At 51.5% G+C, this 26,138-nt stretch overlaps 1 protein-coding gene and 1 long non-coding RNA gene across 5 annotated transcripts, besides 2 other annotated features; one reads left to right on the top strand and one right to left on the bottom strand.

Moving 5' to 3' along the window:
* Positions 1 to 861: 861 nt before the first annotated feature.
* Positions 862 to 21,934, bottom strand: IPO13 (importin 13). 3 transcript variants are annotated; one of them, NM_014652.4, is made up of 20 exons: positions 21,200 to 21,934; positions 18,731 to 19,467; positions 12,424 to 12,564; positions 12,183 to 12,324; positions 11,908 to 12,074; positions 11,569 to 11,689; positions 11,335 to 11,482; positions 10,726 to 10,907; positions 10,616 to 10,642; positions 10,289 to 10,423; positions 9,995 to 10,138; positions 8,555 to 8,635; positions 7,871 to 8,008; positions 7,622 to 7,718; positions 4,563 to 4,615; positions 2,243 to 2,309; positions 2,102 to 2,160; positions 1,865 to 1,954; positions 1,388 to 1,569; positions 862 to 1,298 (listed from the first exon to the last, which is right to left on the bottom strand). In NM_014652.4, the coding sequence occupies exons 1-20, from the start codon at positions 21,281 to 21,283 to the stop codon at positions 1,202 to 1,204; spliced, it is 2,892 nt and encodes a 963-aa protein (NP_055467.3). In that variant the 5' UTR covers positions 21,284 to 21,934; the 3' UTR covers positions 862 to 1,201. The 3 variants fall into 3 exon arrangements, with proteins under 3 accessions (NP_055467.3, XP_024306837.1, XP_024306838.1); XM_024451069.2 differs by lacking the exon at positions 18,731 to 19,467; XM_024451070.2 differs by lacking the exons at positions 18,731 to 19,467; positions 21,200 to 21,934 and adding an exon at positions 15,401 to 15,421.
* Positions 6,783 to 7,982: an enhancer, noted in NCBI's record as "CDK7 strongly-dependent group 2 enhancer chr1:44426574-44427773 (GRCh37/hg19 assembly coordinates)". NCBI's record gives its function as "activates an origin of replication core promoter dependent on BRD2, BRD4, P300/CBP, MED14 and CDK7 cofactors, with strong dependence on CDK7, by STARR-seq in HCT116 cells {active_cell/tissue: HCT116}" and the evidence as "EXISTENCE:reporter gene assay evidence [ECO:0000049][PMID:35650434]".
* Positions 21,889 to 22,138: a silencer, noted in NCBI's record as "silent region_796". NCBI's record gives its function as "represses an Ori minimal core promoter by ATAC-STARR-seq in GM12878 lymphoblastoid cells {active_cell/tissue: GM12878}" and the evidence as "EXISTENCE:reporter gene assay evidence [ECO:0000049][PMID:35858748]".
* On the top strand, positions 22,285 to 24,529 carry LOC101929609 (uncharacterized). Of its 2 annotated transcripts, none has more exons than NR_188535.1 (2): positions 22,285 to 22,403; positions 24,088 to 24,529. It is a non-coding gene; the product is annotated as an uncharacterized LOC101929609 (long non-coding RNA). The 2 variants fall into 2 exon arrangements; NR_188534.1 differs by having other exon boundaries at positions 22,285 to 22,640.
* The last annotated feature ends 1,609 nt before the right edge of the window (positions 24,530 to 26,138 follow it).

The raw sequence follows: 26,138 nt of genomic DNA, 5'->3' as shown, positions 1-26,138 counted from the left end.
CCACATGCAACATCACTTGAAATGCCCTCCTTACATACCTCTGTCAGATACGGAAACTGAGGTTCAAAGAGACTACTTGTGTAATAAGACACTAATTCTGTGGCACAACCAGCATCAAACCCGGATCTATTGAACAGGGAAGGAGTGGGATGAATGTGGGAGTAACGAGTTCCCCATCACCCACAAGGAGATTGAAAGCTCAAGGGTAAAAGTGGGGAGAACTCATTCTGCTCTTCAGATCTTACTGAGGAGAAGCCTGGGGTACCTGAGAGGCAGCCTAGGTGAAACTATAGCTGAGGAGACAGAAAGGGAGGCAACACTGCTAAGGGAGAAAAGCAAGAATAGGTCAGGAGCTGTCCCTGGTGCTGATTGATCCCTGACCATCCTGTGCTGGAGGTCCTGTGTAAGCGGGGAGCAGCGGACATATGGACAACCTTAGGTCCTACTTTCCTCTTTTCTCCTCTGCGGCTGAGATATCTTCTCTCCTTCACCTCCCTGCCACCCACCCACCCCCCAATACACACACACTCAGCCCCTTTCTATAGCCCTCCTCAACCATATGCAAGTTCGATGTTGTATAACTCCACACCAGAAACCCCTCCCGGAAGTCAAAACTCCACTCCATTTCTTCCTTCCTAAACGGACCCAGCCCTACCCCACTTGCAGCCCAAAGTCTCAAGTCCTCTACCTAGAAAGCCTACTATTCCTGTCAAAAACTTTCTCCATGCAGCCTTCCCTCACTTCCTACCATTCTCCATGGTAGCTATGGACTAGATCAACCTTTGTTCAGGGCAGAACGACGCAGGACAGAGCTAGGGGCCTAATATTCGGCGGTGTTGATTAAATAAATGTATGCATACATGCATGTTGGGATTAATTTAATGGGGATGGGGGGGTTGATGACACTACTGCAACCACCCCGCCCCAAGGACAATGACAGTATTCTGAAGGGCTCCAGCCTAGGTGGCTTGGCTACAGTAGTATCTCTTCCAACCTGGGAGCTAGAGGATGTTCCCACCATTCCCTCCCAAGGCCTGGGTCCAAGCATCCTCCCATCCTTCCCCCAGGCCTTCTGGACCCAGGCTTTCAGTTAGGTGGTGGTGACAGCAGAAAGGAGGCAGAGACAGCAGTGAGGGTCCAGGTTTACTCTTTGGGAATAGGGAAGGATGAAGAGAAGGGGTGGATGGGATGGGGGCACCCCTCAGTAGTCAGCTGTGTAATCTGTGCCATGGAGACCCCGGCACAGCAGTGTGAACTCCTTCACCATCTCCTTCACCCGCCTCTTGTTCACTCGCTCGCTGAAGGAGAAAAGGGAGAGCAGGTTAGCACCAGCCACCACCACTGCCCCCTCTCTGCCTGACCCCAGGCCCACCCCAGCTCTGCTCACCGAAGGATCTGCTGGCTGAAGGTATCCTTCTGTTCAGGGCTGAGGCGGGCAGAGGGGAAACCAGGTGGCTGCAGGGCCTCCTTGATCCACATGCTCAGGAGGCTGAAGCAGTGCTTGTTCAGGGCGAACAGGATATCGGCAAAGCAGTCCATGAGGCTGCGGGAGGCCTGGCCCCCAATGGCCTGAGGGAGAGGGGTTCTCAGCACACCAGGGTGTTGCCCCTTCCGCCGCTTCTGCAGCAAGAATGCCTAACTGCCCTCTGGACAGTTCCTAAGCCAAACTGCACATCACAGTGAGCGCTGCTTTTTGAGAGCCAGCTGATCCCCACAGCAATCCTAACAACTTTCAGGCATTTAATTGAAGAAGAAACAGAATCTGAGAGCTTAGGGGACCAAAGGCTCAAGCCTCCCAGAAGGCCAGCTGCCTCAGCAGTGAGGGGCCCTCACCCCCATCAAACCCCCCTTTGCTCCGTCTCACCTCCAGCACTGCTATGAGCAGCATACGACCGTCTTCCTGTACCACCTTTCCCACAGACTCTACTTCCCCACACCGAGGCAGCAGCTCTGTCTGCAGAGGATGGAGAGGCCCATCAGCCCAGCTCCTTCCCAGCTCTCCCTGAGGACAAGACCTGTACACCCCAGCCCTACTGTCTGAAGTCCTGGGCAGGGGAGGGCACTGGGGTGGCAGTGGGTCAGGGTTCAGCATGGGACTCACAAAGAAGCCACAGGAGGCCTTGACAGTAGGTGCCTCAGGGAACTTGAGGGCCAGCACAGCTGTGGGAAAGGCAGAGGCAGATCAGTTTAACGATCCTTCTAGGGGAGCCCCAGGCCCACCTGTCCATCTCGCCCCACTTACCACACTGGAACACAGCTTTGACATCCAATCGTTCACACAGGAACAAATCTGGCTTCCGCTTCAGAGCCTGCAGGAGGTGGAGCTGGTAAGCCCAGCCCCAGCCAGCTCCAAGGACCATCCCCCCCACTCACCTGCCACCCCAGCCCCCAACTTCACACCTCACAGGTAGAGGCTGCCAAAACCAGCTACCCAGCCATCTCTGGGGGACCCGGACCACCTCAGAGTTCAGTAGGTCAGGTGAGGACAGCTCAAGGGATGCTATGTACATGTATGTGTACATGAACACGCAGGTGTACGTGAGAGAGGTTGGGGGTGGGGATCATAATGCAGAAAGTTTGGGTTCCAGACACCTTTCCCTCCCCCTCCATCAGGGCCAGATGTCTCGCAGGCTCTAGGTTGCCAGCAGTGACTTCATGTTGATTCACAGAGGGAGTTAAGCACCCCCAGTTTGTGAACAGGGTAGCAGGAAGAAGAGATGGCAGCCAGACAGGGAGCCCTCAGCCCAACAGCCCTCCTCCCATGTCCCTCCTGTATTCCTGAGGCACCCTCCAGCTCCTGCTCAAAAAGAAGAAAAGTACAGCAGGAGCCTTGGAGCCTCAGCCCCATCTTTCACCCAGGGTACCCTGTGTCCAGGCCCTCTTCGGCCATACACACACCAAGGAGCCAGTGCTGCTGTGGGTGAGGGGGAAGAGATGAAGTGAAGGGGGCAGATGGCCTGCCCCGAGTGGTACCAGGACATGACTGGCACATCCTCAGGTCACAGGAGATGCTCTGCACAGCTCCAGTCATCCTCAAACACTGCTGCTCCCCAGCAATGCCCCCAGTGCATACCACATAGACCTCTACCCTCCAGCCCCTCACATCCCCTCTACCCCCCATGTTTACTCATGTGCAAACACCCCCACATGCACCATCACTTGAAATGCCCTCCTTACACACTTCTCTAACACCGCTAACATACACACACTCTCCCCATCTGGAACACACCCTCATTACACAGTCATACACCAAACACCTGCACATCCCCAAACCATGTCCACACACCTACACCCTCAGCCTTCCCACAGTCCCCCTGTGCACTCTTCCAACATACCCATCCACAAATACACATTCAGACACCCTCCGCATCAAAGATACACCTTTGAAAACACCCACACACATATCCATCCAGGCCCAGAACACTCCCTATTCTTCCCTCCTCCCACCCTACCCATCCCCCAGAAACTAGACTTGTAAGTTCCAGGAGAGCAAGAACTGTGCCTGGTTTTGCTCGCTATCATATCCTCAGTACCTAGCAAAGTACAGCATGTATCACACACTCAATAAATATCTGTGGAATGATTAAGCAAAGAAACACTCCATTTACCCCAATTCACAGGTTAGGGGGTCTGCGTGCTAGGATCCCCTAACACACAGAAGCCCCCATCACACTAACTTCATACCCCCACAGCCCAACATGCATCTCCAAACCATACTCTGATACAGACATACCAATGCCACAACATACACTCCTATCCTCCATAATATACACTCCGACAACCCAACACACACACCTCCAACACACGTCCACGCTCTAAATCCATCAAGGCCTAACACATCAACAAACAACACAAAACACACAACACATCAACATACAGCACACATCAAGGCACACATTCATCTCAGCACCCAACACAATTCACATACTACTTACAGGTGATTTCTGTTCCCTTCCCAAACCAAACTCAAAACATACAAAATAAGGTCTCACACACTGAAACACATACAAAATGCAAACACATCCTAGCATGGAGCCTGCACTCCACCTCCTAGCAGCAGCTCAACCTCTCCAACAGCCCAACTCTGGGCTCCACCGCGCACATTCCTCTTCAGCCCCTCGCTTTGGAGCTGCTCCCAGCCTACCTCTCAGGAGCAGGCTGGGGGCACTGAGGCAGGCAGTTCCCGGCAGGAGCACGGGGACAGTGTACCCCAGACCCTTCAACTCCAGCCCTACACGTGAACTTCTTGGGCAACAAGAAGCTGCTGGGCGCAGTCACCACCCCCTCCCTTTCCCATTCCCCACCCGATGCCAGCCCAGCTCCCTCCGTTTGGGATCAGCCTCTCCCTGGTCTTTGTAGAAGACTGAGCTAGTGAGGCATAGGGGCACTAAAGGAGGATGTTGGGTTGTCAACTTCCACGGAAACAGATGAAGAAACTCTATTCAACTGAACAGAAAAAAAATTTGTCAACAGAAAGCTAAAAATAGGCTTAAATTGAATTTCAACATAAGAGAAAGAGAAAGAGAGAGAACAGAACGTGAATGAATAAAACTAAAACACACCTGTGCCAGGAGTTGCATAAATGAATCAACAATATCAGGATGATCCCTGGGCCCTAAAATATAATAAAGATGGAACTTAAGAAAAAATTATACAAACAGCAACTCAACCTCATATAGTTATGTGGGACTGAGAGCCTGCAGGGAGACAGCGTGGGGGCACATGAGCAGCAGGAAGCAAGATAAAGAAACAAAACATACAAAAACCATGAACTGGGAGAAGCCCAACAGAAAGAGACGGCAAAGTGAAGGACGGGCCTGCCCCAGCTCCCTCCAAGGGGCCTTCCGCCTACTCCCCACTCCTCCTCAGGCCATCCCCTCATGTTCCCTTGGTACTTGAGCAATTCTGGACTCCATATAGCTGAAGAAACGGCCACCACACTTACTGTGGCCTCTGGCAGGTTGGGGTAGCCCTACACTGCTCCTAGCACATACCTCCCATCAGCCAGTCATTGAAGAGGAAAGCTGGGATGGCGGTGGGGGGGTGGGGGAGTCAGTCCTTGGTATCTCCTTTTGAGGTTTATCTGAGGGCCCTAGAAAGGCCAGGGCATCAGAGCCTGAGTAAGTGCCACCTCACTTCAATGGCCTTAGGGCTCTTGGTCTGGCAAAGGAAAATAATCTATTCAGTCCACTTAAACCACAGGACTCTTGCTTAGGTAGGGCAGTGCCCAGCATGCTCTGGAGATGGCCTGGCAAGTCACTGGCAGGGCCCAGAGGAGGAAACAGTATCATAAGGCCAAAAACAAGAGCCCCACCCCAGCAAACCTCCTCCACATGGACATGGACTCTGCAGAGAGCCAAGCTCAGGGCTGAGGACTAGTTCCCATCATCTGGACATGCCAAGAAACAGGGAAACAAGAAACATGTCATCCTATGGTCCAGTGGGAAGGCAGAGCCCGAGGAAGGAATGGCTAAGATTGGGATGGCATAACAGGTATGGGAGCCATCCTGTCCAGCGAGACAACCAACAAGCCCAACGTATATGATGTTGGACACTGCTGCCTCCAGTTCTGATCATTCCTGAGGCAAGAATATGGCATGCACCTGGAGCTCCTACCCAGGCTTCTCCACTCTCAGGAGGATGTGGTACAAAACCATCTGCCTAAGACACCACTAAGTAGCTGTGTGATCTTGCGCAAGCCACAAATGCTCAGTTTCCCCATCTGTAAAGCAGATAATCTCTGCCCTGCTTCCTTCTCTAGGCTATGAAGAGTCACCAATAAAGTCTGTCCCTTTGGTATCTGAACCCTGAGTTATTTAAGTCCTAGAAAGTGAGGCCCAGTGTGCACCATGCAGGTTTGATATTCAGCAGCCACCCTGCTAGAGGTGGGCCAGAAAATGAGAAGGAAAGGTTCCAAGGGCAGGGAGCCCTCCCCCTCCTTTATTTAACAGTGTCTGTGGCCTGCTGTATTCTGGCCTCATTCTGGGCACTGGGGATGCAGAGAGAAGAAACTCAACCCTACCCTTGAGGGGCTTAAGTCTAGTAAGAGAGACAGACATGAAAGCTGATTATTGTGTGTGATCAGTGCTGTGTCAGCAGTGTGTATGGGATGCAGTTTCAGTACAGTTAGAAGCACCCAATTCTGCCTCAGAGAGAAATTACTCTGAGAAGTGATGCAGTCTTCCTCCTTTCTAAGGCATGAAGGAGTGAGAGTTCACCCAGTAAAGGGCATAGGACATTCCAGTCAGAGGAGCAAGGCACAGGGATCAAATGGGACACGGTAAGGAAGAGGCAGTGTGGCTGAAATGTTGGAGTCATGAGGACATTGGCAGGAGAGGACATTAGAGGCATGCCAGAGCCTTGTCATGTGGGTGGGAATGGAACAATAAGCTGAGGGCAATGGGAACAATGAAAGGGTTTTAAGCCCGGGATGACAAATGCTCAGATTTGTGTTTTTATGAAGATTATAGCTGCAGTGTGCAGAACAGATTGGAGAGAAGGGGAGATGCCAAGAAAACCCACTAGAAGGTTGCTGATAATCCAGGTGAGACCCTAAACTGAGGCAGTGGCCACGGAGGTGGGTAGAAGTGGACCAACCGAGAGAGAATCAGGAGTCAGGATCAATGGGGCTTGTCCCAGATTGGGTACAGGGAGTTGGGAGAGGTGGAGTTGAGGATGACCACACCAGGTTTCTGGTTCAGTTTTCTCCCCAGTTTGGACCTACTCCATGGCCCACAGAAACAGAGGCCAGGATCATGAGACCAGGCACTGAGGATATGAGCTGCGAGTACTCTGGGCACCAACCGAGACCCCTGGTGAGCCTCAAACCTGTGACCATGAATCCAGGCAAGGCTCATGAGGCTAGCTGAGCAGTGCTGTTTTTTTGTTTTTGTTTCTCCAAACTGGAAGCCTGGATTAGACAACACGAGAAGCCTGAATGAAGCCCCTGCTGCCAACTCTCTCAGGCAAAGGGCCACAGTGAGTAGAGGGCTAGGACCACAGCCAAAGGTACTTGACTTCTGGCCTAGAAAGTACTAAGCCTTGATGCAGGGAAAGGAACCAACAGTCTCTGAGTACTTCACTGTGCAAAAGCCCCTGAGCCAAGGGCCCAGAAGATGTGACTTTAATACCTGTAAACAATCATTTCAAGTATATGTTATCTCCGTTTCACAGATATGGAAATGAAGGCCCAGCAAAGGTAAGTGACTTGCCCAAGGACACACAACTAGTTGGTGGTGATGAACTTAGAATCTAGGTCTAGCTGACTTCAAAAGCCCGTGCTCTTTCCACTTTTCATTATATCCCAAAGTAAAGGAGCCAGCCTAGTGCCCCAAGCCCCTCAGAGCCTCTGCCCACCTCCCACCCCCACTTCCTTCTTCCATATCCAGACTGGCCCTGAGCCCAGCAGGCCAGCAGAAGACATCATTCACCCTCTTATCCACTTCAACCTAAAGTTTCAACTATTTATAAGGTGTTGTGCTTGATCTCACAGGTTTCCCATCAAGTCCCACGTGTGACTCAGGGGACAGAGAAGAACAGAGTGGGCAGCTTTGGCTCCCCATTTGGGGAAGCAGAGGCAGTGGCAGTGGCAGCAGCAGCAGAGACCCCGGTCAGGACCTACCTTGCTGGAAGAGAGTGAGTGTGACGGAGGTGACGAGCAGGAAGAGGGCCTCAATTGGGGGAAAGTGGGCAGGCTCATGAGCAAAGATGTGGACCAGCTACGAGAAAGCAGGGAATGCTGGTCAGCTGAGACCCAGTCTCACCAGGACATGGCAATATCCCTGGAATGCAAGTGGGGACCCCAGCCACGGCAGCCATCTGACCCACCCCCACCCAGGGTCAGGATCTCTGCCCCAACCAGAAGGCCCACCTGTCGAGTGAGGTCAAGAGCAGAGGCCTGGGGGATGGTGCTGTACATCCGACCCAGCATCTCACACAGCTGTGGCACCATGGGGGCAAAGTCATCCAGCAGCGTCTTAACAGACTTCTCAAAGATAGCGCACACCGCCTTGGGAAGAAAGCAAAGGGGCCCTGGTCAGCAGGTCATGACTGGCTGGAACAGCGCTGAAGCCCTGCACAGAGGGGGCCTACGATTGGGCCCTTACCTATAAGCCTTGCCTGGCCCTGCAAACCAAGGAAGGTAAGCAAGTCTGACCCTCACCCTGAAAGGCAGGGGGCAAAGGCCCTTCACTGAGGGGCACAGGATGTAACTGTGGAACTTAACTCCTGCGACTTACATCTCTAACATTTCCTCTCAGGGAGCAGCAACAGCAACAAAAACCTGAATTGAAAAGGGACCAAAGGCAGGTCTTTGGTGCTAAAACAGATGCCTGACTGTCACTCGACCCTAATATTAGAGTCCTTACGTTAAGCACTTCTCATGATATTGGGGAGTTCTAAATGTCTTCCCAAAAGATTCCTTATCTCTATGGGGCAGGATTCACCTCCCTTGTTTTCTCCAAACCATTGTAAGCTGAAGTGTGGCAGTAACATCTTACCCTGCTACACCTCTGAGCAGTCACTATGGGAGCGGAGGGCAAGGGTCAGGGCTCACCTCCACAACCTGGGCATCATTCAACCATTTGCTCAGCACCTTCTGGATAAGCTGGAAGACCTGCTGCAGCACCACCACCACCTGAAGGCACAGGAAGAAGTGAGGCGCTTCTGCTATCCATCACTGTGACCCACTTGAGGAGGACTTGGTGGCAGGGAGGAGGGGAGCAGTTCAGACCTATTACCCCAGAACACACATTGAGGACCCAGGGCATGGGACCCCTGGGGGAAGAAGTGGTTTGCTGAACTCTCTCATGAATGAAAAAGGAGTATTTCCTGAATTCTAGGGATCATCTCAAAGGAAGCCTCAAACTGCAAAGCAGAGATATCACAAGTGCTTCATAAGGTTACAAAAACTTTGTAAACTTAAAAAAAAATCTCTCCCTATCTCTGCTCTGTAAAACCAAGGCTATGGGCTAGCCTCTGAAGAAGTGGAGATGCTATCTCCTCCAAATAGGCTTGAGGTAGGGAGCCCCAAGGAATGCACAGATGCAGGCTTAAGCTGCTCTCCCAGCTTATGGAGGAGCAGAGAGCAGACTGAGGTCCTGGGAGGTGAGGAAAGGCAGGATGATGACTACCATGTAAAGAAGCAGCTCTGTGGGATGACAGTGGCCCAGGGGTGGTCTAAAGCCAAGAGGCTAACTGAAACTGGGTTGGGGAGTTAAGCAGAGAGGCCAGGATGCCTATGGCTTCCTTTTCTCCTGGAGAAATCTGGGAGGGAGTTCTGGGAACAACGACTAAAGCAGTCCCTTATATTTGTAAAGAACTTTACAATATGCAAACTACCTTCACTTAAGACCACATCTACTATCCAGCACAGTTCTATGAATTGAGTAAGCCAGACATTTCAATGTTCATAGTTTTTAATGGGAAGCTGAGGCTTGCCCCAGATCAAGCAGCTTGTAAGTGGTCACCCCAAAACCTATGCCCAAGCTTACCACAGGACTTATCACACTGCTTTGTGACAATTTGAGCAACCTGAATTTCCTCTACACTGGGAGCAACTTGAAGGCCAGAACTATTACATGCGGAGGAGGTAATGAGCATCCTTAGTGCCCACAGGGGACAGTAAATGTTGAAGTAGAAGGCCCTACAGAGCTAGGGGTTGAACAGGGGCCCATAAAATCACTTAAGGGTTGAAGGATATAACGTCAATGTCCCTCATGGGGCTGAGGAATCTCAATGACATCACCCTAATTGGGCTGGGGACAAGGACAACATCACACACAGAGCTGAGTGAGATAATGACATTGCTGCCTACAGAGTGAGGCAATTATAGGTCATTCATGGAGTCAGAGGACCAAATATATCACGCCCACGGGGCAGGGAGAACAATGACAACATTACCCACAGAATTGAAGAGTGACAATGACATTCCCACAGGTGGGGGTTGGGGGGATGGCAAAGACAAATGTCTTTGCCGTGGGCAAATGTCACCCACGGGGTTGGGTCCCTGTGGCACTGGCAGCTTCCGAAGCTCAGGGCCTTCATGATCATCCTCATGATGACTGATGTCCAGTGTGGTGAAGAGGTTGGAGAGAAGCCCCAAGATGTGAACAATGGCCAGCTTGTTGGAGGGATTGGGCTGCAGGGAGAAGCAAACCAAGCTCCAGATCTCCCAGCCCCAGTTTGGTCCCCAGATCACTGAGCCTCAGCTCTGAGGGCCAGCTCCAACCTCACCCCTCATCAGCCACAGCATCTCAGTACCGCTCCCTGGCCCCCAGAGCTCACTCACTATCTCCTCTGCCAGCTTCTCCAGTTGCTGGATATAGGGTGAGATAAGCGAGTGCAGGTTCTTAAGGATCTCCTCCACTTGAAGAGCTGACAGCAGGAAGCCCAGCGCCTGCATCAGCCACATGCACTGGCTTGTCTGTGGGGCAGAACATGGATGGTCAGTCCTGGCCACATCTAGTTGTGGGGTAGGAAGGAAAATGAGCCTCTTGGGAGAAGAAAAACAGAGAATAAGGGATAAGAGGAAGGGGAAGGCCAAAAAACAGGATTTCAGGGATAAGTGATTCCCACAAGACCTCCAAGGAGACCCCTAGAAACTTTTGAGCCGCACCTTGTGGATCTGTTTCATCAGCACATCCTGAGGGGAGAAAGAAGGAATGTAGTATCAGCACAGTGCAGAGTGTGCTCTGAGGCCCAGCACCATCCAGGGCCCCTGCATACCTGGGACACAGCCACAATGTTGGCAGCATAGGGAGGCAGGTCATACTTGCACTCTCGGCAGATCTTCTTGAGGGTGGACACAGAAGAGACAGACAGCTCAGGATTGCCTAGGGCATGCAGTACCAAGGGCAGAACACTGTTGATCATGACGGGGTGGTCAGCCAGCCATTCAGACAGAGCTCCTGGAGGAAGGAGGGAGACAGGAGGATCTTTGAGGCAGGCCAGGCTGGCTTTGTACCATGTCTCTGAGGCAAGCAGAGTTCCTGGCAGGGTCAAGTTGCAGCCCCAGCACAGAGTACTGCCCCATTCAGAGGACATATGCATGTGCATGCTCAAACATGAGCCTTACAGCTGAGAAGCAGGAAGGGGTTACTCAACAGAGGCCCAGTACTGCTGTTTCACTGACGGTAAACTAGCCTCACTGAATTGCAGCTCAGTGTGCCATCAGATGGACCCCCTAGACCTGCCAGGACAGTCAGTTTGTTACAACACTGATTGTGTGTAGGCATGTGGCTCTCCCATTCTGGATAGGATCCAGCATGCTGGCTGTGGCCAGGGTTGGGTGCTGTGGCTCTGGGAATATGGTCATGGGTGTGTGCCAGGTCTCACCAATGGTGAACATGACAGTGTCTGCCAGCTGCACGTTGCTGATGCTGATCCGTGGGATGAGGCCAATGAGCCCAGGCACCACATCAGAATAGTTGACGTCAATGGTCTCTGCGATGGATTGGAAGCCGTAGAGGAGGGCCTCTGTGTGCTGGGGAAAGAGGGTGCCACTGGCTTGGATGAGGAGGAGGGTGTGACAGGTCTGGGAAGGCTGAGGGAATCAGGCTTGGGAGGTACCTGCCAGGAGTAGGGCTCCTCTGAGCTGGTGAGCAAACGACCCAGCTTGTCATAGAGGTTGCTGAGCAGCTCGGCCCCCAACATCTCATAGACATACATGAGCGTGTCTGAGATGTCCACCCTGAGAAGCAGATGAAGGCCTTTTATACTGCCTGGATCCTGACCCTGGATCCTGCCCCCAAGCCCAGGAGCCTACCCCAGTACCCCCACAACTCTGCAACAATACCTAGAAAACAGAAAGGAGCACCAAAATTCAGAAAGCCTGGACTTGGGCCCCTTCCCTCATTGCCTTCATTATTTCTGGACTCCATTTTAGAGGAGTTGGCCTGCTACCATCACCTGTAAATTCGGAACTGCTCCTTCTCGTCTGAGGACCAGAATCCATATTCCTCATCAGAAGGGAACTGGGCCTTGTGCAGAAGCACATCCACCAGCTGGAAGTAGACTGGCCGGTACACCTGCTGGTATACAGCCTGCTTCTCTGCCTCAAAGGATAGAATATCATCCTGAGAGAGCCAGGGAAGAGAATTAGCCACCTCACCAGCAGTCATAGAAGCCCATGATCCACCTTCTTCCACCACAGCCCAGTCCTACTGGAGGTCACACAGACACACCTGCAGTGTGTACCAGAAGGTGAGGGTTAGGGAGCTGGTGGTCTCATTGACAGGATAGTGGCCAGGGATGCCTGTGCAGAACATAATCATGTTGACGAGTGCCAGGAAACTCTGCCAGTGCTCTACTTGGTCCAGCAAGGCCCTGGGGAGAGAGTCAGGTCATTCTACCTTTCCAGGGACTTCCAGAACCCCATTTCTTAGAGGGCCCTACTATCCCACCCCAAGCTGCTCCACCCTTTACCGGGAGTGGTTCTCGCCCAGGGCCACAGCGATGCGACAGATGCCATGGGAGGTCTCCATGTCCCCATTCTGCACTGCCTGCCGCAGTTGTTCCTGCAGACCCAGCACCAGCGGGATGAGTTTCAGGAGTGTGTTCACGTACCTAGAGGCATGAGGTGAGAAAATCCATCAGAGCTCTCTGCTCAACCCCACACTGGCTTTAAGAGAAAGGCATAATCTCCTTGTCTTCCATCAAAGCTCCCCTTCCCTTATCAAATCCTAAGCAAAAAAAGGGTCAGGGTCTACATGGCAGATTTGATGTTCCCAATGTTGGGAAGAACCTTAGATCAGGGACCCCCAGAAGAACTCTGAGAAGGACGTATGAGAAGGTCAGCATTATGGGTTGAATTGTGTTCTCCAGTTGGACTGAGAGCTGATTCCGGAATGGGTTAAGATTTTTTTTTTTTTTTTTTTTTTGAGATGGGGTTTTGCTGTGTTACCCAGGCTGGTCTCGAACTCCTGAGCTCAAGAGACTCAGCCTCCTGCTCAGCCTCCAGAGTAGCTGGGATTACAGGTGGAGCCACCACATCCAGCTAGGTTACAACTTTTGGGGAGATTGAGATGAAGTGAATATATTTTGCATGTGGGGATAACATGAAGTTTGGGGCACCAGAGGGCAGACTGTCATGGGTCAAATTAAGTCCCCACAAAAAGATACATTTTTTGATAAATCTTAATCCCCAGTACCTCAAAATGTGATCTTATTTGGAAATAAGATAATTGCAGATGAGGTTATACTGGAGTAGGATGGACCTGAACTCCAATATGACTGGTGTCCTTATAAGAAGATATCTATGTGAAGACAGAGACATACAGGGAGAATGCCACGTGAGGATGAAAGTAGAGAGTGGAGTGATCCAGCTGGAAGCCAGGGAACACTGAAGACCGCCAGCAAACCACAGAGCTAGGAAGAGGCAAGGACGGAGTCTCCTACAGGTTTCAGAGGGAGCACAGCCTTGCCAACACCTTGATTTCAGACTTCTATCCTTCACAATTGTGAGACAGTTAATTTCTGTTTGGCTTTAAAGCCACCTAGTTTGTGGTACTATGTTATGGTAGCCCTAGGAAACTAATACAGTCTGTCAGGGGTGATTGAACAAGAGTGGGATACAGAAGAGTAAACACAGGCTCATAAGCCCTGATTTAAAAAAAAAAAAAAGACTTTGGAAGGCAGCAACAGCTCATGAGAGCATCAATCCCTGCCATCCGCTCCACCCTCTACCACCAAATCCCAACTCTTGAGGAGTGTGGTGGCAGCAGGGAGGAAGAGAAGTAGACAATGAACTCAGAGAGAGCTAAGAGGCAAAACAGACAGGACTTGATGACTGACTGGATATGAGGAAGGAGAAGAATAAAGACACCTCTCAGGTCACTGGCTAAACAACTAAGTAGACGGTGGAGCTATTTACTGAGACCTGTGGGGTGAGTAGCGGGGAACAGTAACACCTTTAATGGGAGGTGGAAGGTGATAAGCTCAGTCTTAGACAAGTTGATTCAGAGACACCTGATAGGTTATGCAGGCAGAAGCATCTAGAAAGAGTTGGATATAAAAGCCTGAAGCCCAGCATAGAGGTTAGAGCAAAAGCCATAGATTTGAGAGTCATCAGCTAACAGCTGGTAATTGAAGTTATGGGAATAGATGAGAATTGCCCAAGGAGAAAGTGTTGAATGAGAAAAAAATAAGAGGGTCCAGATCACAGCCCTGAAACACAATGATCTCTAAAGGAGAAGGACAGACAGCCCAGTATACAAAGGGGACTGAGAGAAGCCTGGCTCAGCCCACTGGATCCCTCTCCAGCACCTTGGTCTGTGGAGATGAGACTAAGCAGAGGAAGCCACACTCTAATAGCGGGGATCAGATGCTTGGGACCCCTCTGTTGTCAATCATAGTGTCACCATAGCAATCTATGTTAGGGAGTTGGGGACTGAGGATCCCAGAGGGAGTTCTATCTGGACTTGCCCCAAGCAGGTTGCTAGGCAGTAGCCTCATATCCTTGGTGGGAGGATGAGAAGGACAAAAAGAGGCAACCAGCCTAGGGACATCGGCCTCCTTCTCCACATCCCCATTCTGGTAGGAAAAGTCACCCATGCCAGGATATCCCCAGCCCAGAGACAGCCCCAGGGGGTGCTGCCTGGAGACAGCCGGGATAGCTTCAGTCTCCTGACCCTGACACGGGCTGCACCACCAGACAATGGGCATTTTCAGGCCAGACTCTGGCACAAAGAGAAGGGGCAGGGCCAAGGCTATGGCCCACAAGCTCCTCAGCAGCTGAGATGGGTGCAGGAGGTAGCGCTCTACTCCCATAGCTCCCCACTGTATTCTAAGACTCCTTCCTCCACCTGCCAAAGTTCATGCAGATGGCAGGGTACTCGGCAAATGTTCTTCATTTGTCTCATCTGAGCCTCAAAATAGGACAAATCAAGGATAATACAGCCTCAAAGAGCTCAGAGTATCATATCACTCAAGGTCATACAACAACTTAGAAGCAGAATCCAGGTTGAAACTGCCCCTTAAACTGCTACAGGTCTGCTTTTCTTTCAGGGCCCAACCAGAATTTCCCCAAAGGATTTATGTACGTCTCAGCCCATATCTCCAGTCCTAACTGATGGGAGCCCCCAAGAGCCTGCCTAATTCACTTTCCCTCCATCCCCAACTCCCAAGGACAAGCTTTTCCAGCATTAAAAACATAGTTCAGGAAAAAAAAATACATTTCAAAGGAGAGAGCCAGGAAGCAGCAGCAGCTGTGGAGGGGCAGGAAAAGGGTGACTTGAGTGCAAGCTCAGCCAAGGGGAGGGCCAATGTCAGGACACCTGGGGAAGGCGTGCCTGGATGACCCAGGAGTCAAAGTCACTGAAGGTGACTTTCACAAGCCAAAGCTGGGAAATTAGACTGGGGAGAGCAAGGGCCAGGCTCGGATTCTGGGCTGGATGCAGCTCACCCATGGGAAGAAGTTCTTGCATAAATTTCCTACCACCTGAGCACCTGTGTCTGCGACCTGTGAGTGGACAGAAGAACAAGTCTGAGGTCCCAGAGGTTTCTAGGTTTGGGGGAAGGAGACAGGGAGGATGTCTTTATGACCACAGCTGAGGCTGGGTTCAAGAGGCCTGGCTCCAATCGGTCAGTTCAAGTAGCCGAGGCAGGGCTGCTGGGACTCCTCTGCTGCTGCTCACACGGAGCTCAGCCCAGACCTGCAATTAGAGCTTTGCTTCAGGAGCAGAGCTGAGAAAATGGGGAGAGTTGCTAAGCAACCAAGGGGCTGCAGCCAATGGGCACCAAGGAGGCTGTGGGTTACCTCACTGGCTCCTTGCTCGCTCATTCGTTCAGAGGAGAAGGGGCATCAATTACCTGCCAAAGCCCTTGAGACTGGCTGGGCGGGTAAACTTGGGTGTATCCAAGGACACCTCACATCACCCACACACTTGCCCTGATCTGTTTCCCTTAGTCACCAACTGTCAGAGCCCACCCAGCACTTGAGCTTCAGGCTGCCAAGAGATCTGGGATTAGGTATCCACCTTAAGCTGGAAAGCCTGGGAAGCCAGGGGATAAGTATCATAATAACTCCCAACACAATAATGAAACCAAATACTGGCAACTGCCGTTTACAGAGTATATAGGAACCATGCTAAAAGCTTCACATTCTCTTATTTAATCCTCATACCGAAACAATCTTTTATTTTTTAAAATCAACCCAATATTTTATTTAAAGTTTCAAAAGGCAGTGATTAAGCACATTATCTATGTGTGTGTGTGTATCATATACATATAAATATATGTATGTATACACACACATATATATATAGGAAACCAACTCCTTTTCAAATTTAGCCACTGAACAACTAGGCCCACTTTCTATTGCATGATTCCAGTTCTACTTCTTATGACCAGTACTAAAAGTAAACAGCCTTAATCCATTTAATAGTAACTATGTTTCTCTTTAAAAAAATGAACAGTTGGCCAGGCATGGTGGCTCATACCTGTAATCCCAGCACTTTGGGAGGCGGAGGCAGATGGATCACCTGAGGTTAGGAGTTCAAGACCAGCCTGACCAACATGGCAAAACCCCGTTTCTACTAAAAATACAAAAATTAGCTGGGCGTGGTGATGCACGCCTGTAATCCCAGCTATTCTGGAGGCTGAGGCAAGAGAATCGCTTGAACCCGGGAGGCGGAGGTTGCAGTGAGCCGAGATTGTGCCACTGCACACCAGCCTGGGTGACAGAGTGAGACTCTGTCTCAAAATAAATAAATAAACAATTACCATTAACTGATCACATAAAGTATAAAGGTAGAACATATACACACAGTTCCCATTTTAAAACATGTAACGTATCAATAACCCAAAGGTACAAATGCATGCTACTGACCATCCCAACCCTAGCAGAGACCACAAAAGAACTCCCATTACTCAAGGAGTCAAAATATTCTCTACCGAACACCAGGGGCAGGACTTGTGCACATTATCCTGTTTAAACCTTTTCAACTCTGTGGGGTTGATATGATCATCCCCATTTTATTGATGAGGAAACGGAGCCTTAGGAATGGCTGATCCAAGATTTCAGATCTAATAAGTGAACCATCTGGGATTCAAACTTAGATGTGACTAATGCCAAGGCTTGAGTCATCAGCCACTCTTCCATGAAGTCTCTTTCAATGGTTTTCCCTTCCAATTCTGCCAAAGGTCCCAAAGCCCCATCTCTGAAATGTCAGCATCAGGACCTCCAGTCTCACTTCTTCTAATCCAGCTCATACCAAAAGTCTCAGTAGGCCATTTTCTCTGCTTATAATCCTTTAATATCTTTATATCGTCTTCAGGATGAAGATCAAAATCTTAAACTTGGCCAAGGTCCTGCATGATCTGGGCCCAGGTCTCCTATACCTCTGGCCCTTAAATCTTGCTGTCTAATCACATCTAATGATTTACAGATCACCAGACCCTCTGGGCTTTCACCCTTCCCTTGCTTGGGCTGGAATGTCCTCCCCATCCATCACTTCCATCTGGCTAACTCTTACACAGCTGGGTTGTCACTTCCTCTGCGAATCCTTTCACAGCCCTCAGACTCAGTGAAAGCCTCCTCTGGGTTCTTCAAGGCCCCTGCGTTCTCCATCAGAGGATTCATCATGTTGATTGTACTTGCCACTCATGTGTCCACTAGACTGTGAGCTCCTGAGACTGAAGCTAAAGCATTTGTCTCTGTGCTCCCAGAGCTCAGCACAGGGCCCAAAACAGGACATGCTCAATGAACATTTGCCAAACACTTCACTACACTCACTTCTTTAGGGCCCTTGAATATATCATGATGCTGCCCACAAGTCTTTGCACATGCTGTGGTTCCTAAAGCCTAGAACAATCCACCTTCCTCCCCCAATCCCTTCCAGCCCCACCCCTCCCAACTCAGGCAACTCCTACTTTCCTCCATTCACAAAATATCAAATGCTACCATGTGCCGAGCACAATGCGACAAAGTAAAATGACAGAGTCCCTGTCCTCACAGAGGTGAGAGAAATCATGTTATGGGCTAAGAAGGAAAAATACTGGGAGCTCTGAGGTAATATAAGAGAGAAGATCAAACTTAGCCTTAAGAATCCATGGAGGACTTCCCTATGGAAATGAAGTTTAAGCTGAGGCAAGGTGTCAAGTATATGTAATGAGCCAGAGGCTGAAAGGAACATGGGACATTCAAGGAATTAAAGAAACTGTGTGAGCGTGTAGAGAGCAAGGAGAGTAGCATGAGATGAGGCCAGTGATGCCATACTGTGCAGCACCATTATGAGTCACATTAAGGATTCTGAGCTTTAACCTAAGAGCATTGAGAAGCCACTGAAAGCTTCTGATCAGAAAGATTAGATCCCCATTTTCAAAAGATCACTGTGGCTGCTGGGACAATGAAGGGTACAAGAGTGAGGACAAGCTCTACAGTAATCTGGGGAGAGAGATGATGACAGCTTGGACTAAGGTGGTAGCAATGGAAATGGAAAAAAATAGATTTGCAATATGGTCAGGAGGGGAACAGCCAGGACTTGGTGACTAGTTGAGAGAAGGAAAAGAGAGTCAAATATTTTAATTGAATAACTGATAATTAGTTGTTTAATGTCTGCCTCCCTGTCTGAACCATGAGGACAGGGACCATGTCTTCTTTGGTTCCTTGCTGTATCTCCAGCATAGGACCAGGTATCAGTACACATTCAATTAATGTTTATTGAACAGATGGATGGATGGATGTGTGGCTGGCCAAAGAGGTTGTCTTCTGGGTGAGTGGGTACTAGCTCACCTCTGGGCATCAGGCTGTGAGATGGCATTCACAATGGCCTCCACACTGCTGTCGAAGAGCTCCGAGTCCTGCAGAGCAGCAAAGGCAGCCTGAATGAGCGCCTCACAGTCCTGCAGCGGCACCTCCAGCTGCACCCAGCTGGAGAAACACTTGAGCACCTTCTGACGCACACAGCTGGGTGAGCTGGGCTGCTGTAGCAGCTGCTCCAGCAGCGGGAAGACAGCCCCACATTCCACCGCCAGGCTGGTCCGCACCAGGCCTTTGCGGTACTGGGGTAGGCGACTGGTCTGGAACTCCTCAGGCAGCACTGTCAGCAGCTCTAACAGGGCTAGGCAGCGGCCCTGCCCATCCACTGGTGAGTCCTCAGCCTGGAAGAGTCGTACCATATCTGCCACAGCACATGGCCAAGCGTCAGGCATCATGCTGAGAGCCAGTGAGGCCAGTGCCACGCACAGCCGAGTCAGTACAATCTTGGAGCCACTGGCAAAGCGGGTGATCTGGGTGAAGAGCTGTGCCTTTAGGCTTTCATACTGGTCAGTGGGGATGTCACTCCAGTAGCGAGAGATCTTGATGTGAAGAGCACTGGCCCCAAAGTACTGGATCTCTGGTACCTTGTCGGGCTGCAGTAGCTGCCAGCTGAAGTGCCAGGCCTGTGGGGAGACCTGGGCCTGCATCAGCCACTTCTGAGCCAGGTTCTTATTCTCAATGTTGGGATCATAGTAGAGCTGGTGCAGCGCCTGCAGGACAGCACAGGACTGAGCAGGTGCTGGCCACTCTGGATCCTGCCAGAGCCCAGAACAGAGGCGTGACTTGGTCCTGCAAGGCTGCTCCCTCTCCCTGACTGGGGGGCTGAGCAGGGAGAGCTCAGCGCTCTGCAGTGTTTCCTGGGCCTGGGGTCCTGCTGATATCTTGAGAGCCTGAACCTTGCCCATGCTCTACCATATCCTCTTCTCCTTACAGCAAAACATTATGGGTTCAGAGAGGGAATCTCCACAGGAAAGCAAAAAAGAGGAGGCTGATCTCCCCAAAGGGGAGGCACTTGAGGGCAAGGCCCAGGTGGAAGGAACAGCTTCACAGGGATGAAGCTAAGTCTGAGAAGGGCATGGAACAGCTTGAGGGGACTTGACCCTCCCAGGCACAGCTGCTCCCATCAACTCCAACAGCTCCTTTCAGCTCCCCCAGGATCATCCCTAGGTCAGTCCAGATGCTGGCACCAAAGCCAGTGTGAAATCAGAGCAGGACTAAGACTTTTGCCAGGCAGCCCTGGGGCAGACATGCTGGAGGAGAGGGTGAGAACACTCCTCAGAGGGCACATGTCCAACCAATTGATCCAGAGAAGCCTTGGCCATAGCTGCAGCCCTGGCAAACACCTAGCTTAGTGCTCTCCACTAGCAGAATCCCCGGGGTCTCAATTCCAACGGGACTTTATGAAGTAAGAAAACAGTGAGATTTATCTCCCAATAGCACATGGAACAGTGCGCCACCATGCCAACACTGCCCTGCTCCAAGGGGCGGAAGAGTATGGCCAGGACCCTGACCCCTAAGCAGGCTCCATCCAAGTAAGCTTAGCTCTATTTGTACCCCTGACAGCCAGTTATGGCCATTGGCCCTTGTTTGGCCCCTCAGGGACGCCAAAGCAGGCAGAAGAGATGCATCCTCATTGTTTGTTATGGCAAACGGGGGTTAAGGATAACAAGTGAACATCATTCCCTGCTTTCAAGTAAGGGAGCCCCATCTCCCCATTCATCCCAGGGTGCATGCATTCCTGCATTTCAAGTTGTAGGGAGCAGATACAGAAAAGAACCAAAGAGGCAGTTCAGAAAGATGGGCTGGGCAGTCGGGGAGCCTGGGAGGGCCATGGCAGGGAGCTATGTGGGCAGGCGAGTAGGGAGGAGCCCTGTAAGGCTCCCAGCAGGGCCAGGACCCTTGGACTCAGCACAAAACAAAGGGAGACAGCCCCAGGCCTGCCTGCTCAGGACTGGTCTGGCTTCCATCCAATAAAGGAAGGACCCTTCTCCAAAGAGTCAAAACAACCCAGATTGTTTTAGTTCCAGATTATTTTCTGAGCCCTTGGCTCAACAAAACCAGGTCCAGGATGGTTTGGCATCAGTATAATTCCAGGAGACTGAGCTGCAGGTCTCCTGGGTTCCCAGTTTCCTACTGCACTGCTCATGCAGTTCCCATGGAGCTGGAACATAGCCAGTCTGGACGGAAGGCTAAGTCACAGCACCCTGAAGGGACCATCCCAAGACCCTAGAGTATCTATCCACAGGGGACCTGCCTGTAAGGAAAGACAAAAATAGCCCATTAGGGCACTGCAATACTGCCTGCCCAGAAAGAGAGCAAATGCCAGGTGCTCTGGGGGCACCATACCAGCGGGCACCCAGCCCAGGCCTGAGCTCTGCCATCAGTGACAGTCCCCAGAACTTCTGCTCTGTCACTGGAGTGCCCACCCCAGAGCCCTCATACCTTCTCCACGTTCTCCACAGTGAAGTCCAAGGCTGGTGCTGCTCCAGCCCCTGCAGCCCCCGGCTGCTCCTCCCGCCGCTCCATCTTTGCTCCCTCCCTGGCAGGGAGGTGGGCCCTGATCTGTCTCCTGCCCCAGCCCCTTGGCTGCTGGCCCCCTGCTAGACCCCGGCTTGGGTGCCCAGGGAGTGGTGGGGTGAGGGGGGGCCCAGGGCGGGCATGGCTGCCGAGGCCTCCCCACCTCGTTTGGGGGTGGGAGGCTTGCCAGAGACCAAAATTGGTGCTCTTAGGAGACCCAATGAAGGGGACTCCGAGGAGGGAGCCGTCAGTGAGGAGCTCTCAGGCGGGGATCCTAGTGGCAGGTAACAGCTCTGTCCCCAGAATCTGTGTGGAGGGAGTCACAGGGGAGGGAGGCCTGCGGGGGAAACCGAGTCCCTGGCTCTTGAGGGGTCACAGGGTCGATGGCCTGTACCCACAACACCCCCGCCTGGGTGAGCTCTCGGCTGCTATGAACAGGTCATGGGGCTGGAGGGTCACGGGAGAGAGAGAGCCCTTCGTGGTTACGGAGGCGTCCAACGAAGCGCGGAGATGCAGCTCCGCTAGTCTAGGGCGAAGAGTCCGTGGAGTTGAGGGGCTGTGGCAGGTCCCTTCCGTTCGGCCTGGCCCGCGCTGTGCTCAACGCCCGGCTACAGCCCCGCTACAGCCGCTGCCTCCGCCCCAGTGACTGACAAGACAAGCCAGGCCGGCCGGGACGGGGCAGGGACCTCGGCAAGGCGCGGGCTGCCCCGAGCGCCTGTCCCCGGCACCTCCAACTCAGGCCCCCACTCCTGCCAGTTCTGGCTCGGCACGGCCCGGTACAGGCCGGCACGGCCCAGCGGAACTGCGCGGAAACTCATTCCGGGTCCTTAGCCCTGTCCTCGCGCCAGCTCGCACTCCCCTGAGCAGGCGGTGGAGCGGCTCGCCGCCCCAGGCCGCGGCCGAGTCTAGGCCCCGCCGCTGTTCACCCTGGGAAATGTAGTCCGTGTTGCGCCTAGCCGGAAGGCGGCGCCCTGCGGAGGAGGCCGGGAGCACGTGGGTTGGGGACCTGCAGAGCCCCGCCTGTCCTCGGCCTACCGCGGCGAGCAGGCATTCCGGGTCAGACCGGCGCGGGGCGCTGCGGCCCAACTCCTTAGTAGGACGACGTGACTCGAGGGGCCGGAGGACGGAGGTGGGAGCCCGGGCTAGAGGGTGGAGGCTGGGGAGGTTGCCTGGTCACTCTGGCGCTCCGCTGCCGGGGGCATCCTCCGGCCCAGCAAAGGTGCAGCCTGGGAAGAAGGCGTCAGCACCACCCAGAGAAGAGGAGAGGGGACTTGGCACGCCTCAGGAAGGAAAAAAGGAAGGCTCTCGGGACCACCCAATAAGCAACCGGGAAACCACATACCATGGACAGTGCTCGGGGAATTTCGTAAGGTTTTTGGAAGTAACTTTATGTGTAACTAGAGTAAGAGTAGCTTACATTTAAGTGCTAGGAGCAGGACTTTGCTTACCTTAGGTTCAGTTTTCTTAATAGCTCTGAGGTGGATATTTTTATTCATCATTTTCAGATGAGATGAGGAAATCGAGCTTGGGGAAAGTTAGGCTTATCTTGCCCCTGGCACACAGACAGGGTGGCAGACCATGCCATAGATCTGGTCTGCCACAGGCCCCGGTAGTTCCTGCCTGTCACCCCTCCAGTTGTATTTTATTGTTTATTAACTCCTGCCAGCTACCCTAGCAGGGAAGAGGAAAAAATTAAAAGTGCAAAGAGCTCCGTAGTTTTGTTCAAATGGAGGAAGCTGGCATTGGAAGCTGGCATTGGCAGCAGCTGCTGAGGCCTGAGAAGGTCCATGAAGGCTTCCCTGAGAAGAGAAACTTGATCTGAGCTTGAAGAATAGAGAGCCTGGGAAGGAGAGGGGCCCATTTAGCTGGTAAGCAAAATCCAGTAGGACTCTAAGTCATTCAGCAAGTCTTCATCAATAAAGAATAGCAAGTAGGCCGGGCGCGGTGGCTCACGCCTGTAATCCCAGCACTATGGGAGGCTGAGGCGGGCGGATCACGAGGTCAGGAGATCGAGACCATCCTGGCTAACACGGTGAAACCCCGTCTCTACTAAAAATACAAAAAATTAGCCGGGCATGGTGGCAGGCACCTGTAGTCCCAGCTATTCGGGAGGCTGAGGCAGGAGAATGGCTTGAACACGGGAGGTGGAGCTTGCAGTGAGCTGAGATCACGCCACTGCACTCCAGCCTGGGCGACAGAGTGAGACTCCGTCTAAAAAAAAAAAAGAAAAGAAAAGAAAGAATAGTAAGTAATTTATATTCATTTTAAGAGAATATATGTGGGGTGGGGAAGGGGAAGGGTATGAGTAACAGAGATGAGGTTGGAAAGACAAGTTGGTGGCAATAGATTCTTGTAGGAGTTTGGACATTATCCTAAGTGCAATATGAAACCATGATGGGGTTTCAAGTGAGCAATGATGATTACATTTGCATTTTAGAAAAATCTGCAACATGAAAGACAAATTGAAGGAAGAAAGAGAGGCAGGAGACATTTGGAAGGAGGAAATAGAAAGCCAAAATAAAGTAACTGATTCCAGGCCTGTGCCTAGGGTGTGAAATACCTTGGGCCTGGTGCTGGCTGGCGGTTTCACTGGTGGAGGTGGTGGTGGGCAGGGGAGATGGTGTTGGGAGTGGGGTTTAAATGCACAAATTCTGGACTTAGTCCTGAGTTCAAAACCTGTTTATGCCTCTTTCTAGCAATGAGACCTTAGCTTCTTCTGAAACTCATTTTAGTTAAGGGGTTTTAGGGGTGGGGGGCTCAGCCCAGAGACCACAACTTAGTCAGTATGTGTTTTCTTCCTGCTTCCCATCCAGGGCTCCTCCTCATCCCTGGAGGTTCCAGGGATCTGGCAGAGAAAGAAGCCCAGTCTCACAGCAATGACTCCTGAACATCCTTTGCAAACACTATTTAGGACAGATGGACTGAAGTAGGCCCTGGGGAGAGTTGGGGGCATTTCCGGAGGCCAGACCAAAGGTGATCTCCAGGAGATTTGGATGTTAGTGCAGGATAGCTCAGAGCCAAGTGGCAGATAAGTCTTTGGGAGCCAGAAGGGCTCTTTCTTCTCTAAGGAACAAGTGTAGACCTATAGGGGCAAGAACCTGTGGCAACCCTGGGAGAGGTCTGCAGATTCAGGAGGGAACATCCCAAAACTCAGCAGAGGAGGAGAGGGAGCTTTTGTTGGTCACCTGGAACCACTACCAATCCATGTTCATGTCAAATTAAATGATCACTTTGAAGTTTTTCAGCCTACCAAAATCATGTGAATTTGGTCTGCAAAACCAGACGACTGCCTGCTTGCAGTTAAGAATTCTCAGCGGGAGGCCGGGCGCAGTGGCTCATGCCACCAGCACTTTGGGAGGCTGAGGTGGGTGGATCACGAGGTCAGGAGTTCGAGACCAGCCTGGCTAACACGGTGAAACCCTGTCTCTACTAAAAATACAAAAGTTAGCCTGGTGTGGTGGCGGGCACCTGTAGTCCCGGCTACTTGGGAAGCTGAGGCAGGAGAATCTCTTGGACCTGGAAGGTGGAGGTTGCAGTGAGCTGAGATCGCGCCATTGCACTCCAGCCTGGGCAACAGAGCGAGACTCTGTCTCAAAAAAAAAAAAAAAAGAAGAAGAAGAAAAAAAAGAATTCTCAGGGGGAGATTATTCCCCTTTCTTAGTACCAAGGTTGGATGTAGGCAGTTTTCTTTGTAGTCCCCTGGTTTGAGGGAGAGAGGTTAGGTCAGACAGGGGCAGGTTTCTTTCTAATTCACCTTCACAGTGTAGGCATACACTGGCCTTTGAGGTCCTGGCCTTATGGAGAAGTTTCTAAATAGACTCCCCATGGTGAGGGGGCCCTGGGCTTTGTCTTTCTCATAAGCCCAGAGACCCCTTGAAAACCAATGATCAGGTTCTCTGGGTTCGGCAACTGCCCTCAAGATGAAAGCCAATGACAGAGCTTTGCTTACCTTTGTAGCTTCTTGCTTTCATTTACTTTTTTGGCCTCAGTGTGTTTCTTACATTTTTGCTAGCTTATGGATGCATTTAATTTTAAAGATAGATAGAGTCTAGTATTTAAAGTTGTTTTCAGGAGGAAGTTTAGCCCAAGTCCTTAGGCCACCATGTTGCAAGAAAACCTAACGGGCAGTTTTCGGTTCTGATGCAGCTTGATTTTTGTGCTGCATCTGGCCCTATTGACCAGTCCCTCAGCTCTTCTGTTTGGTTTTGTTTTTCCCGACACTCTGACTACTCCTTTTTGGTTTCCTTCACTGGCCCATCCCTGTTCCTCCACCTGTTCCTTAAATGTTGGTCCTCCTTAGTCTCCGCTTCTTGTCTTATGCCTCATTATCTCACCACTCCCCTGGCTTCAAGCTGTGACTCCTTGGATTTCTCCAGCCCAGACTGTCCTGGGTTTCAAACCTGCATATTTAGCTGCCTCCTGGCCCTCTGAAGTTGCCACAGGCACCCAAAGTTGAACATGTACAAAACTGAACTCACATTTTCCCCACATCTTACCCCTATCACATGCTAAAATACTACATCCCCTGTGTTCTGTACCAGTCCCCCAAGCTAGACACCTGGAAACCATCTCTCATCCAGCCCTCACCTCTCTTATTGTCCCTCACATCTCTTCTGTCCTTGCACATTTGCTTCTGCCCTAACTCAAGGTACCTGTGCTTGTTGCCTGAACGGCTCTAACTATGGCAGCTCTAGCTGGCACCCACCTTGCCTCTTCCATCCATACTAGACACAGTAGCAAGTGATCCATCTGAAACACATCTCTAACCAAGCCCACTTAAAACCCTTTAGTGGCTCCTTTCAGAGCGAAGGCTGAGCTTCTCGGTATAACATTCAAAGCCCTTTGTGACCTCTCCAGTCTTTTG

The sequence above is a fragment of the Homo sapiens genome, chromosome 1 (assembly GCF_000001405.40).
Source record: "Homo sapiens chromosome 1, GRCh38.p14 Primary Assembly".
Classification (NCBI taxonomy): Eukaryota; Metazoa; Chordata; class Mammalia; order Primates; family Hominidae; genus Homo; species Homo sapiens.
This window is presented reverse-complemented; position numbering and strand designations above follow the sequence as displayed.

Excerpts from the sequence above, each read along its gene's own strand:
- IPO13 (NM_014652.4), bottom strand. The coding sequence starts at position 21,283 with ATGGAGCGGCGGGAGGAGCAGCCGGGGGCTGCAGGGGCTGGAGCAGCA. Across the intron at positions 10,139-10,288 it reads AGAAGCTGGCAGAGGAGATA|CCCAATCCCTCCAACAAGCT; the intron begins GTGAGTGAGCTC and ends TTCTCCCTGCAG. Across the intron at positions 2,310-4,562 it reads TTATGCAACTCCTGGCACAG|GCTCTGAAGCGGAAGCCAGA; the intron begins GTGTGTTTTAGT and ends CACCTCCTGCAG.